Source organism: Homo sapiens, chromosome 19 (assembly GCF_000001405.40).
Source record: "Homo sapiens chromosome 19, GRCh38.p14 Primary Assembly".
In the NCBI taxonomy this organism is placed as follows: Eukaryota; Metazoa; Chordata; class Mammalia; order Primates; family Hominidae; genus Homo; species Homo sapiens.
The window spans coordinates 54,707,473-54,722,670 of NC_000019.10; the positions used below are offsets into that span (position 1 = coordinate 54,707,473).

Consider the following 15,198-nt stretch of genomic DNA (forward strand, 5'->3'; position numbering starts at 1 on the left):
AGTGCTGGGATTACAGGTGTAAGCCACTGCACCCAGCCAGCTTTCTCATTCTTATCCCTTAGTTCTCTGCCAGGGAATAAGATAGAAACCATTCCCTCAACCACATTCTAGTCATGGTCCCTATTCTCATGTTTCCACTTCTCTCTCTTTGGTAATAAATCAATTAATTGAGAAACAAGTAGCTAAATGTTCATCTTCTGCTAGTCTGCATCCCCTTATTTTCCCAGAGCCTCCCCTAATGAAACTGACTTTATTTACTGAACGCAGGAAATGGGTCTCTCCAGATCAGGATGACTTTCTGCTGGGAAATATTTGTCTTTGCATCAGTGGGGAAAAAGAAAGCCGATGTCATGAGTGGAGGCTCTGAGAAAATAAGGGCTGTGTTTTCAGTTTAGACCCAGCTAAGTTGGGAGCTGACATAGATATGATGTTGGGTCCACCCTCCACGGGCAGGTTTTCAGACAAAGGATCCCTGGCAATCAGGGGACACCTCAGGTCTGGGCTGAGATGTGTGCAGAGGGCCTGGGTCCTCCTGAGCCCCTGCACTGGGGGGGGAATAAGAGACAGGCCCAGCAAGGGGCTGTCCACTTCCTGTGGGTTCACAGCTGTGGGGACCCAGGCAGGCGGCAGCAGGCTCTGACTTAACCACATCCGTGCATCTGTCTGTCATGGAGGGCCATGTGGTCACCTGTCCCACAGCTGGAGCACGCAGAGCAGGCATCATGGTGTCCATCCTCACTGTTCTTCTGTGCCTCAGTCAGTGGTGGAGAGACGAGGGACAGGAGGGGCACTGGGCTGAGGTGGGGAGGGTCCCACAGCAGCCTTGTTCACCAGAGAGCCTCAGGGCTCCAGTGGCTACTGGTGCTCCAACAGGAAGGGAAGCAGCCACACCTCTGTGTTCCAAATCCCCCACAGGAAACTCTTCTCCATGGCTGAGTCTGGGCCAGAAAGCCCAAGCACTTGCAGGTGAGTCTCTGCTAACCTCCCATGCCTGACCTCACACTCAGCACCTGGACTCTCATCTCAGGGGCTTCTGAACTGAGGGTGAGAAAATCAAGAGGGTCTGTGACCTGAGCTGGGAATGAGGAGCGGGGGAGGTCTGTGGACCCCAGCCTGTGGTTTCTTCCAGGGACCCTCCCCAAACCCAGCCTCTGGGCTGAGCCAGGCTCTGTGATTACCTGGGAGAGCCCCATGACCCTCTGGTGCCAGGGGACCCTGGATACCCAGGGTTACTATCTCACCAAGGAAGGAAACCCCATGACCTGGTACCAACAGAGCCCACCAGAGCCCAGGAACAAGACCAACTTCTTCATCCCATCCATGAGAGAGCACCATGCAGGGAGATACCACTGTCACTATCTCAGCCCTGCAGGCTGGTCAGAGCGCAGCGAGCCCCTGGAGCTGGTGGTGACAGGTAAGAGGACACTCAGGGGTCCCAGCCCCAGGCTCTGCCTGCAGGAAGGGGGTCAGCTCTCAAGGGCATCTCCGTTCTAATAACTCAGCCCTGGGGGATGATGTGGGACGCGTGAGCCCCATTTAAGACAGTGTCTCCTTCTCTCCTAGGAGCCCACAGAAAACCCACTCTCTCAGCCCTGCCGAGCCCTGTGGTGACCTCAGGAGAGAACGTGACCATCCAGTGTAGCTCAAGGGTGGGATTTCACAGGTTCATTTTGATTGAGGAAGGAGAAAACAAGCTCTCCTGGATGCTGGACTCACAGGAACTCTCCAAGGGGCTGTCCCTTGTCCCTGGCCCTGTTCCCTGTGGGCCGTGTGGCTGCCAGTCACCGGTGGATGTTCAGATGCTATGGGCATTACACGAACTTCCCCTGGGTGTGGTCGGAACCCAGTGATACCATGGAGATCCTGGTCTTAGGTATGGATGTCTTCCTCCTTGCCCTATTTATTTTTGAGAACTTACTCTCACGGAGCCCCATGTAGGAGGGTGGAACAAGGGAAGTTTGGGACTCCTGAGCCCAGAGACACTGAGTGTGAGAGACAGTGAGACCTGCAGGGCCAGGAGGGGAGAAGGAAGGGGTGTGGGAGGAACCAGCCCTCCTAGTCCCGACTCTTCTTTCCCTCCAGGCGTGTCTAGGAAGCCCTCCCTCCTGACCCTGCAGGGCCCTGTCGTGGCCCCTGGGGAGAATCTGACCCTCCAGTGTGGCTCTGATGTCGGCTATGACAAATTCACTCTGTACAAGGAGGGGGGACATGACCTCGTCCAGGGCTCTGGCCGGCAGCCCCAGGCTGGGCTCTCCCAGGCCAACTTCACCCTGGGCCCTGTGAGGGTCTCCCACGGGGGCCAGTACAGATGCTACGGTGCACACAACCTCTCCTCCGAGTGGTCGGCCCCCAGTGACCCCCTGAGCATCCTGATCGCAGGTGAGGAGCCCAGCAGGTTCAGTCAGGGACCCAGGCTCCGCACAGGCCCTGCTGGGGGAGCCCAGGTGGTGATGGCCGGGATGAGGGGTGGGGGTCCTAAGGGACGGAGAGACAGACAGAGACAGGGGATGGGCGGGGAGGGGGAGACTCAGAGAAAACAGAGACAGAGACACTGAGGGTCCCAGGGAGAGGCCTGGGGAGGTGTCAGCTCAGAACGAGGTGGGGCAGCCCCTCACCCATCCTTCTTCTCTCCAGGACAGATCCGTGGCAGACCCTCCCTCTCGGTGCAGCCGGGCCCCACGGTGGCCTCAGGAGAGAACGTGACCCTGCTGTGTCAGTCACGGGAGCAGTTGGACACTTTCCTTCTGACCAAGGAGGGGGCAGCCCATCACCCACTGCGTCTGAGATCAGAGCACCAAGCTCAGCAGCACCAGGCTGAATTCCCCATGAGTCCTGTGACCTCAGCCCACGCGGGGACCTACAGGTGCTACAGCTCACGCAGATTCTTCCCCTACCTGCTGTCTCACCCCAGTGACCCCCTGGAGCTCGTGGTCTCAGGTGAGGCCGCTGACCCTGTCCTCTCTGAGCTCAAACCTCAGCTCAGGCCCTGCCCCCAGGAGAGCTCAGGACGCTAAGGAAAGAGGGGAGTAAAGGGGGAGGGTCGGCAGGGGAGGGCCCAGCCCATGAGAGGGTGGAAATAGTCAGGGACCTCCTAATCCTGGGCTCCCACCCCAGAGACCTCAGATGGGGCTAAAGGCCAGGGAGGGCTGAAATGAGATATGGAGAAACCTTGGAGGAATCATGCTTAGGCTGAGGGTAGAAGATGGAGGCCCCACCCACTCCCCACCTGGGCTCCCCTGGCGGCCCCAAAATACTCAGTGCATACCTGAGACGAAGGGGAGATCATGCACCTGCTCACTGCAGCAATGCAGGCAAATTATTCAACAGCAAACCTCGTGTGCAATTCCTTTCTGTCCTTTATTTTTTATGTCCACATATCTAGTTTCTCTTTCTGTTTCTGAAGATTTCAAAGCAATGCTGGCATTTATAATTTACACATTTAATTTGTTAGGTAGCGTTATGATGTAAAATAACTGTGCTCTGATTTTCTTTGGGATTAAATTAAATATGTGCATTCATGATGGAGAATAACTTCTCATTAATAATGTCTTTGTATCCAATACATTTAAAATTAAACTTTATACAGTTAGCAGATGCTTGAAGTTGTATTCATAAAAATTGTGGACATTGTGAATTTTAAGCATTGTTTTACTACTTGAATAATTTGAAAGTCTTTGATTCCTTTCTATTTTCTAAAATTAGTTACGTATGGATGAGAAAGCTATTGGTTTGGGTATGCTAATTTTAGTTCCTATTAACTTACCACAGACACACTCCCTTTCAATCCTTTCCGAAATGATCTCTTCTGATTTATTGATAATAATTACATTAACCACAAGAAAATGGAGGACAAACTTGTTTGTTTCTAAATTATATAATACTCTTCTCACTTCAAATATATATGTATGTGTTTATATATACTCACACACTATTATATATCTTATAATATATATTATGTATTATATATTTATATATACACTATTATATATCTTATATATTATGTATTATATATTTATATATACCCACACATTATTATATCTTATAATATATATTATGTATTATATATTTATATATACCCACACATTATTATATCTTATAATATATATTATGTATTATATATTTATATATGCACTATTATATATCTTATATATTATGTATTATATATTTATATTACCCACACATTATTATATCTTATAATATATATTATGTATTATATATTTATATATACACACACTATTATATATCTTATTATATATTATGTATTATATATTTATATATACTATTATATATCTTATAATATATAATGTATTATATATTTATATATACACACACTATTATATATCTTATATATTATGTATTATATATTTATATATACATACTATTATATATCTTATAATATATTATGTATTATATATTTATATATATACACTATTATATATCTTATTATATATTATATATTTATATATGCACACACTATTACATATCTTATTATATATTTATATGTATACACACACTATTATATATCTTATTATATATTATGTACTATATATTTATATATACTATTATATATCTTATAATATATAATGTATTATATATTTATATATACACACACTATTATATATCTTATATATTATGTATTATATATTTATATATACATACTATTATATATCTTATAATATATTATGTATTATATATTTATATATATACACTATTATATATCTTATTATATATTATATATTTATATATGCACACACTATTACATATCTTATTATATATTTATATGTATACACACACTATTATATATCTTATTATATATTATGTACTATATATTTATATATACTATTATATATCTTATAATATATAATGTATTATATATTTATATATACACACACTATTATATATCTTATATATTATGTATTATATATTTATATATACATACTATTATATATCTTATAATATATTATGTATTATATATTTATATATACACACTATTATATATCTTATTATATATTATATATTTATATATGCACACACTATTACATATCTTATTATATATTTATATGTATACACACACTATTATATATCTTATATATTATATATTTATATATACTCACACTATATCTTATAATACATATTATGCATACACATATGCATAATACATATTATCTATACACATATGCATAATACATATTATGTATACACATATGCATAACACATATTATGTATACACACATATTTACACCTATGCATATATGTATGTATGTATGCGAATGTACCTCTGCCACGGCAGGGAAAGGTTCTATCACACAACTACAGAGCAGTTAGGAGAAGTGTAGACACAAAGGAATGCAGCAACTGAGGGACATGTTGGCTTAAGTCTCTTCAACTCCTCACACACCTCCCCCTTTTTTGGTTGATTCTCAGGAGCAGCTGAGACCCTCAGCCCATCGCAAAACAAGACAGACTCCAAGACTGGTGTGTAAGGAGATGCTCTCGGTTATGGGGCTGGCACAGAGGGTCAGGTCCTGTGAAGGGGAGGTGGGTGCCCTGGGTGGACATCCAGGGGTCCCGGGTGATGTTGATCTGCCCTGACCTCTGAGACCTCTTGGTCCACCATCCCCAGCCTCACACCCCCAGGATTACACAGTGGAGAATCTCATCCGCGTGGCTGTGGCTGGCTTGGTCCTGGTGGTCCTCGGGATTCTGCTGCTTTAGGACTGGCACAGCTAGAGAAGTCCCCAAGATGCAGCAAGGAGGTAAATACATGAGAGAACAATGCACCCTTCAGAGTGCCAGAGCCTTGGCAATGAATCTGATAGTCCTAGGAGGTTCTGGAAGAAAGTCTGGACCATCATTCGGGAAACCGTCTACTGAGAAAGTCGAGAAGGGGAGGCTTGGGTCAGGTTCAGGAAGATGTCTGGGTGCCTGTAGAGAACGCTTCCTCCATTAAACTTCCATTAAATGGCAGTGCTTTCAGTCCTGCTGTTGTGGATCCTCCGTGTCTGCCCCTCCCTTCCTTTCGCTCTCTGTGATGTGAAGGCACGTCCCCCATGGTGGGTTTGCATCCACACCCCTGCGATCACGTGCTCTGGTCCACTGTCATGTAATACATTTGTCTTTGTTTCCAACTACCGCATTCTCTAAAGTGAACTATTGATTCTCCATCTTTTCAGTTCTGAGCATAGATCTGGATTAAATAACTGGAATAGGTGGGCAGATTTGTATTTGGGACTTTGAAACATGAGTCTGAGGCCAGGCACAGTGGCTCACACCTGTAATCCCAGCACTTTGGGAGGCTGAGGTGGGCGGATCACTTGAGGTCAGAAGTTCGAGACCAACCTGGCCAACATGGTGAAACCCTGTCTCTACTAAAAGATACAAAAATTAGCTGGGTGTGGCAGTGAGCACCTGTAATCCCAGCTGCTCAGGAAGCTGAGGCGGGAGAATAGCTTGAACCCGGGAGGCGGAGGTTGCAGTGAGCCAAGATCTTGCCACTGCACTCCAGCCTGGGCAACAGAGCAAGACTCCATCTCCAAAAAAAAAAAAAAAAAGGGAAATATGAGTCTGAAATGATGCCCTAGCACCCTCTCTGGACCCTGAATTCCCTTCACTCTTCATCGGATGATACCTGTGTACTTTGTCCAGAAATATCATCTCTCAGAATGAGCACACTAACGCTCGAAGGCTCAGCCTCATGGTATTCTGTTAAACTGGCTCTCTGAAAAAATTATTTTCTTAAGAAAACTCTGAACATATAAAGCCCCAGATTTATGGTATTTGCTGATTAGTGTGGTATAAATACGTCCTTTATGGCCAACTTCAGGGTGCCCATATGACGCCATTGAATGCACAGTTGGGAAGTAGTCAAAAGAATTGTCGTTCACACGAGTATGAACCAGTTGTAAAGTTTATTTAAAGGTTATAATAATTTCTGCTTCATTCTTATGGTGTAGTTTCAGTAAAATTGTAATGTCAAAAATCATAGCACAATGGAGGGAAAAGAAAAAAATAGGCCGGGTGTGGTGGCTCATGCCTGTAATCCCAACACTTTGGGAGGCCGAGGCAGGAGGATCACCTGAGGTCAGGAGTTCGAGACCAGCCTGGCCAACATGGTGAAACGCTGTCTCTACTAAAAATACAAAAATTAGCCAGACATGGTGGCGCCTGCCTGTAATCCCAGCTACTTGGGAGGCCAAGGCACGAGAATCGCATGAACCCAGGAGGCGGAGGTTGCAGTGAGCCGAGATCACTACAGCCTGGGTGATAGAGCAAGACTCAGTCTCAAGAAAAGAAAAAAGTAGCAAAATCATTTTTTGGAAAGAATATTGAACATGTAGAATTTTAGTACATTAATAGTAAGAGTACAAATTGCTTTAATCAATTAAGGAAGTGTATTGGAATTATCTAGTTAAAAAGAGGAGGCACATGGCTGTGACCCTTCTTAATTATGTACTTAATTATGTACCCTAGAGATAAATGTCTACTTATGTGTCATGATACACTCACAACTGTTATAGGAATGCTGTTCCTATTAGCCAAAGCTATAAAATACCAAAGTCCACCTACGAAAAAAATAAACATAGTGTGGTAAATAGACTCAGTGGAATATTACAAGGTAGTAAAATGCATAAATGAAAATAACAAACAGCACCATACTTCAATTTTCAAGCATAAAGTCAAGTAAATGAAGTATTATTTGAAAATGTGTGCATGGTTATTTCATTACATAAAGGTCAAAAGGAGGGTACATTTATTATTTAGGAAAACACACCTAAGATATCTTTGTAAAATCTGTAAAATCAATAGTACTGTTTCCCCTCTTTCATTCCTTATCTTGAAAATGCTTGTCTCTTTTTCTGCCATGGCTTTCTACCTTGCTTGATATATTACAATTTTGTAACCTGCTTATTTCATCATATGTCATAAGTTCACATGTATATCCCATGAATTATTGAGGGTCTTATTCATTTCAAGTGGCATTTAGGTTTTTAAAAATATCTTTTGGCGACCAGGTGCAGTGGCTCATGCCTGTAATCCCAGCACTTTGGGAAGCCAAGGCAGGTGGATCACGAGTTCAAGAGACAGAGATCATCCTGGCGAACATGGTGAAACCCCGTCTCTACTAAAAATACAAAAAAAAAAAAAAAAATAGCTGGGCATGGTAGAGGGTGCCTGTAGTCCCAGCTTCTCAGGAGGCTGAGGCGGGAGAATGGCATGAACCCGAGAGACGGAGGTTGCAGTGAGCCGAGATCGTGCCACTGCACTCCAGCCTGGCAACAGAGTGAGACTCTGTCTCAAAAAAAAAAAAAAAAGAAAGAAAGAAAGGAAGAAAAAAAAATCTTCTGGCATTAACTATTAAGAAATTGCACTATAAAAAGAGAATATAATGCATAAGACGGCAATTTGAAAAGATTCAGATATAATTTTTTCTTATCTAGTAAATACTTAGTAATTTGTCTAATGCATGCCTTAAATACATACCACTTTATGCAGAGGTTGCCATGAGCCGAGATCGCGCCGTTGCACTCTAGCCTGGGTGGCAGAGCAAGACTCCATCTCAAAAAAAAAAAAGAAAATCTCACAGAAGGAGACCCAGAGCTTCCAGCCTCGCCCAGAGTCTTGGCTCACTCCCTGTGTGTGTGGACCCTAGGGAGCCTCTTCTGTTCCCCACAGAGGTGGAAACTTCCTCCTTAATAACCCCTTGATGGTCCCAGGCACTGGTGACCACTGAGCTTTGCTCTCTCTTTTTTCTTATGGTTCCCTGTCTACTTCCAGGGCTATCACTTTACTTTTTGTGCATTAGACCATGAATAATGTTTTAGAAACATTCTATCAAATTTCTCAGTGCTAGGAACAACTGAGGTTTTTGATTGGGTGCCTCAAATGTCTACCCTTACTGTGGAGTCCGACAACAGGATTCTAACAAGTCCCAACCCCTTCATGCCTTAACCTGGTCTGGAAATAAATTATGTTTAAGCCATCCCATACCCCAGCCACATCAAGCCCCACAACCACTCTGAGAAGTGAGATTTATAGCAAAATGCTCCAAACAAGGTAACTAAGGTTCAGACAAGGGATGTTAATGTGTCCATTTACATAAACAAAAAATGGTAGATGATCAGCTTTCCCTTTGAAATCAGAGTACTAATCTGACTCATTGTTCCCTGAATTTTAGAGGCAGGACCTCAGGAGGAGCTAAGAATCCTACCCCAGGAAAATTACCAATATCAGAAAGGAAACAATGACATCAGTACAGATCCTACAGAATTCAAAAGATTCTAAGTGGACATTATGAAGACATTATTCAGCTTAGATGAAGTGGTCACATATCACAAGAAAACAAACTGTCTAAAACAATCTCTGAAATACCTAGACATTCCCTGAATCATTGAGTTATTAAATAAAATACATTTTAAAATTAAACTCTTTTCAGGAAATAAACTTCAATGTCCCCTAGTGCACTCTCCAAAACATGTAGATGGGAATAAATACTGTTCTGAAAGACATTTCCCTGGAATTACAACCATTCAATATATTTTAAAAGGCAATCATAAAAATATAAAAAGGATATATCAGGAGAAGAAATGTAAATGGCCTAAATTCCCCACATAAAAGGCATAGAGTGGCAACGTGGATAAAAAGCCAAGAGCCAACTGCCTGCTGTCTTCAAGAGACCCATCTCACATGTAATGACACCCACAGGCTCAAAGTAAAAGGATGAAGAAATATTTACTAGGCAACCAGGAAACAAAAAAAAGGAAGGCATTCCTATTCTTATATCACATGAAACACACTTTAAATCAACAGCAATCAGGAAGGACAAAGAAGGGCATTACAAAATGATAAAGGGTTCAATTTGACAGAAGACTTAACTATTCTAAATATATATGCACCCAAATTTGGAGCACCCCGATTCATAAAACAAGTTATTCTTCACCTATGAAAAGAGTTAGACAGCCACACAATAATAGTAAGGGACTTCAGTATCCCACTAACAACGTCAGATGAATCACTAAAACAGAAAACTAACAAAGAAATTCTGGTCTTAAAGACAACACTTGACCAATTGGACCTCATAGACATCTACAGAGTACTCCACCCAACAACTGCAGAATATAGATTCTTCTTATCTGCACACACAAAAAACATATCATATTCTAAGACTGGCCACAAAGCAAGTCTCAATAAATTCAAAGAATCAAAATCATAACAAGGCACACAATAAAAATAGAAAAAAATACCAAGATGATCTCTCAAAACTACAGAAAAACATGGAAATTTAACAACTTGTTTCTGAATGAATATTAAGAGCCATCTATGACAAATCCACAGCCAACATCATATTGAATGGTCAAAAGCTGGAACTGTACCCCTTGAGAACTCTTGGGTGAACAATGAAATTAAAGCAGAAATCACAAAACATTATTTAAAATTAATAAAAATAGAAACAAACTTACCAAAACCTTTGGGATGCAGTTAAAGCAGTGATAAGAGGAAAATTTATAGCAATACATGCCTCATCAGAAGTTTAGAAAGATCTCAAATTAGTGACTTAACACTGCATCTAGAGGAACTATTAAAAAAAAGGAACAGTCCAAACCCAAGGCCAGCAAAAGATGAGAAATAACTAAAGTCAGAGAGAACTGAATAAATTGAGACCAAAAAGTCCATACAAGAGATAAATAAAACCAAGAGTTTTTCTTTGAAAAAAAATAAACAAAATTCATAGACTGTTAGCTAGATTAACAAAGAAAAAGAGAAAAGATCCAAATAAACACAAATAGAACTGACAAAACAATGTTACGAACAATCCCACAGAAATAGAAAAGATCGTCAAAGACTATTATGAACACCTCTATACAAACAAGCTAGAAAACCTAGAAGAAATGGATAAATTCCTGGTAACACAAAATTTATCATATTTCAACCAGGAAGAAAGTGAAAACCTGAACAGACCAATAACAAGTTCAGAAATTTAATCAGTAATAAAAACCCTACTAACTAAAAATAGCCCAGGACCAGATGGATTCACAGCCAAAATCCAACAGCCATACAAAGAAGAACTGATACCGATCTTACTGAAACTTTTGGAAAAAATCAAGGAGTGGGGGCTTCTTCCTAACTCATTCTATGAAGCCATCATCACCATGATACCAACATCTGTCAGAGACATAATGAAAAAAAGAAAACTACAACTAAATATCCTTAATGAACATAGACATAAAATCCTCAACAAAATGCTAGCAAATTGAATCTGTCAGTGCATCAAAAGTTAATTCACATGATCAAGTAAGCTTTATTTTTGGGATGCAAGGTTGGTTCAACCTACAAAGTCAACGAATGTGATTCACCTCATAAACATAATTAAAAACAAAAACTATATGATCATCTCAATAGATGCAGAAAAAGCTTTCTGTAAAATCCAACATCCCTTCATGATAAAAACTGTCAATAGGCATCAAAGGAACATACCTCAAAATATTAAGAGCCATCTATGACAAACCCACAGCCAACATCATATTGATGGGCAAAAGCTGGAACCATACCCCTTGAGAACCGAAACAAGACCAGGATGACCACTCCCGCCATTTTAATTCAACATGGTACTGGAAGTCCTAGCCAAAGCAATCAGGCAAGAGAAGGAAATAAAAGGCATTAAAATTGGAAAAGAAGTAGTGATACTGTCTCTCTTTGCTGATGAAATAATTTTATACATAGAAAACCCTAAAGACTCTGTCAGAAGGCTCCTGAAACTGATAAACAAATTCAATAAAGTTTCGGGATTAAAAAAATGTACACAAATTAGTAACATTTCTATGCACCACTAACATTCTAGCTGAGAACTAAATCAAGAACACAATTCCATTTACACTAGCCACAAAGAAAATAAAATACCTAGGAATCCATCTAACCAAGAAGGTGAAAATTCTCTACAAGGAGAACTACAAAACACTTCTGAAAGAAATAAGAAATGATACAAACAAATGGAAGAATATTCCATGCTCATGAATTAGGAGAACAAATAGTTAAAATCGCCATACTTCCAAAAACAAATTGCAGACTCAATGCTATCCATTTCAAAATGCAATGTCATTTTTCACGAAATTATAAAAATTTATTCTAAAATGTATTTGGCACCAAAAAAAGAGCCTGAATACACATAGGAATCCTAAGCACAAAGAACAAAGCCCAGGCATCACATTACCCAACTTCAAACTATACTACAATGCTATAGTAACCCAAACAGCATGATACTACTACAAAAACAGACACATAGACCAATGAGACAGAATAGAGAACCCAGAAATGAGGCTACATACCTACAATCATCTTTGAAAAAATTGACAAAAACAAGCAATGTGGAAAGTACCCTTTCTTCAATAAATAGTTCTGGGATAACTGACTACTCATATGCAAAATAATAGAACTGGACCCCTAACTCTCACTATATACAAAAATTAACCCAAGATAGTTTAAAGATTTAAATGTAAAACCTCAAAATATTAAAATTCTAGAAGAAAACCTAGGAAATATCCTTCTCAAGATAGACTTTGGCAAAGAATTTATGGCTAACTCCCCAAAACCAATTGTGACAAAGACAGAAATTGGGACCTAACTCAACTGAAGAGCTTCTGCACAGCAAACGAAAGTATCAACAGAGTAAACAGATAACCTACAGACTGGGAGAAAATATTTGCAAACTATGCATCTGACAAAGTTCTAATATCCAGAATCTATAAGGAATGTAAACAAATCAACAAGCAGAAAACCAAAAAACCTCAATTAAGTATGACATGAACAGACACTTCTCAAAAGAAGATGTACACATGGCCAAAAAACATATGAACAAATGCTTATTATCAGTAATCATCAGAGAAATGCAAATTAAAACCACAGTGAGATACCATCTCACAACAATCAGAGAAGCAGAAGCAATTACTAAAAAGTTTTTTGTTTTTTTTAATAACAGATGCTGACAAGATTGTGGAGAAAAGGGAACACTTATACACTCTTGGTGGGAATGTTAACTAGTTCAGCCAATGTGATAAGCAGTTTGGAGACTTCTCAAATAACTTAAAATAGAACTACTATTCAATCAAGCAATCCCACTACTGGGTATATACCAAAAGGAAGGTAATTAACTATGTCAAAAAGACACATGCACTAGTATATTCATTGCTGTGCAATTCAGAATAGCAAAGATTTGCAGTCAACCTAAGTGCTCACCAACAGTGGATTAGTTAAAGAAAATGTGCTACATATACACATGGAACATTACATGGCCATAAAAAATAATGAAATCATGTCCTTTGCAGCAACATGAATGTAGCAGGAGGTCAATCTCCTAAGTGAACTAACCCAGGAACAGAAAACCAAATACCACATGTTATCACTTATAACTGAGAACCAAACATTGAATACACATGAACATAAAGATGGAAACAACAGATACCGAGGACTACAGATGGGGGGAGGAGTAGGGAGGTATAGGCTGAAGAAACACCTGTTGGATTCTATGCTCATTGCCTGGGTGATGGCATTGTTGGAACCACAAACCTCAGAGTCACACAATATGCCTATGTAACAAACCTGCATGCATACCTTTAATCTACAGTAAAGGTTGAAGTTATTTAAAAATAGGAAGAAGAATTACCCTATACCTAAAGCTAAGATTTTTCCCTTTGAATATTCGTTTCTTCATCACTGTAGATAAGCAGGGAAAGAAAAATTATTATACTATACTAGCCTTTTATGTGACCATGAGGATTTGGGGTAGGTAGGTGGACAGCTTAGATAATTCACCAGGATATTGATACAGGCTCCATGGCTGGAAATAACCAAGGATGAGTGCTGTGTTTTGAGTGGTCTCCCCCAGAAACGTTTGTTGAAATCCTAACCCCTGGTATGTATGAATGTGAATTCATATTATATAAAAAGGAATAAATAGCCTGAGCACAGTGGCTCACACCTGTAATCCCAGCACTTTGGGAGGCCAAAGCAGGTGGATCATTTGAGGTCAGGAGTTCTGGCCAATATGGCAAAACTTCATCTCTACAAAAAAAAAATACAAAAAAAAAAATTGGCTGGGTATGGTGGCGCATGCCTGTAGTCCCAGCTACTCAGGAGGCTGAGGCAGGAATTGCTGAAACCTGGAAGGCAGAGGTTGCAGTGAGCCAAGATCATGCCACTGCACTCCAGCCTGGGTGAGACGGCAAGATATTCTGTCAAAAATAAATAAATAAAAAACAGAAGAAGAAATACAAGAATGACAGCAAACTTTGTATTCAAAACTATGAAAGTAAGAAATAGGTGGACCAACATTTTTAAAGTGCTACAAGAAAATATTTCAAACTAGAATCTTTCAACCTGAAAAGGAAAACATTTTCCTGCAATAAAGGTGCCATTAAAAATGTCTCACAATTTATTACATGAAGCATTGTTCTACAATAAATGTTAAGCTCTTGAAGCAAAGATTAATGATACCATTTAGTAACTTGAAATTCAAAAAAGTGGAAGTATCCCAAGAGGCAAATACGTGTGCAATTATTAAATGTTTCATATCAACACCCAACCTTATGCTGTCTACATAAGCTGCACTTCAAATACTAATCCACAAGATGTAAATATTGAAAGAATGACATTACATTGTCATGATAATGCCCAGTGCAAAATATGCTTCTAGTCAGTTGTATACATAGAATAGGTAAATGTTTGTAATAAAAAGTATTCCTCAATAGAAGTTTCTTAACTCAAAGAATGAAATATTTCACCATGCACATACAAAGAAGAGATATATGGAGATATGAAGAGGAGTACTTCATAATGACAAAGAGGCAAATTCATAAATAAGACATAATAATCCTAAATGCCTACACACCTAAAGCTGGAACCTCAAAACACATTAAATTAAAGGCATAATTCAAAACATAATCAATCACATCCAAATTGCAGCTAGAGATAGCAACATTCACCTCACTTCCAGAACAAGTACACAGAAAATTATTAAGCATATGAAAGACTTGAAAAACATTTGTGTAGGCGGCGGGTGCATAAGGTTGGGTGTTGATATGAAACATTTAATAATTTCAATAATCCTAGCACTTTGGGAGGCCAAAATGGGAGGATCACTTGAGGCCAGGAGTTTGAGACCAGCCTGGGCACCATAGTGAGACCCCGTCTCTATTTTTTTTAAATAAA

The 15,198-nt window shown here is 40.0% G+C and overlaps 1 pseudogene across 1 annotated transcript; it reads left to right on the forward strand.

The window, feature by feature from the left end:
* The first annotated feature begins 443 nt into the window (after positions 1-443).
* On the forward strand, positions 444-5,980 carry LILRP2 (leukocyte immunoglobulin-like receptor pseudogene 2; annotated as a pseudogene). The gene is made up of 7 exons (NR_003061.2): positions 444-966; positions 1,130-1,414; positions 1,564-1,873; positions 2,083-2,379; positions 2,635-2,937; positions 5,425-5,475; positions 5,624-5,980. The product of NR_003061.2 is annotated as a leukocyte immunoglobulin-like receptor pseudogene 2 (transcript).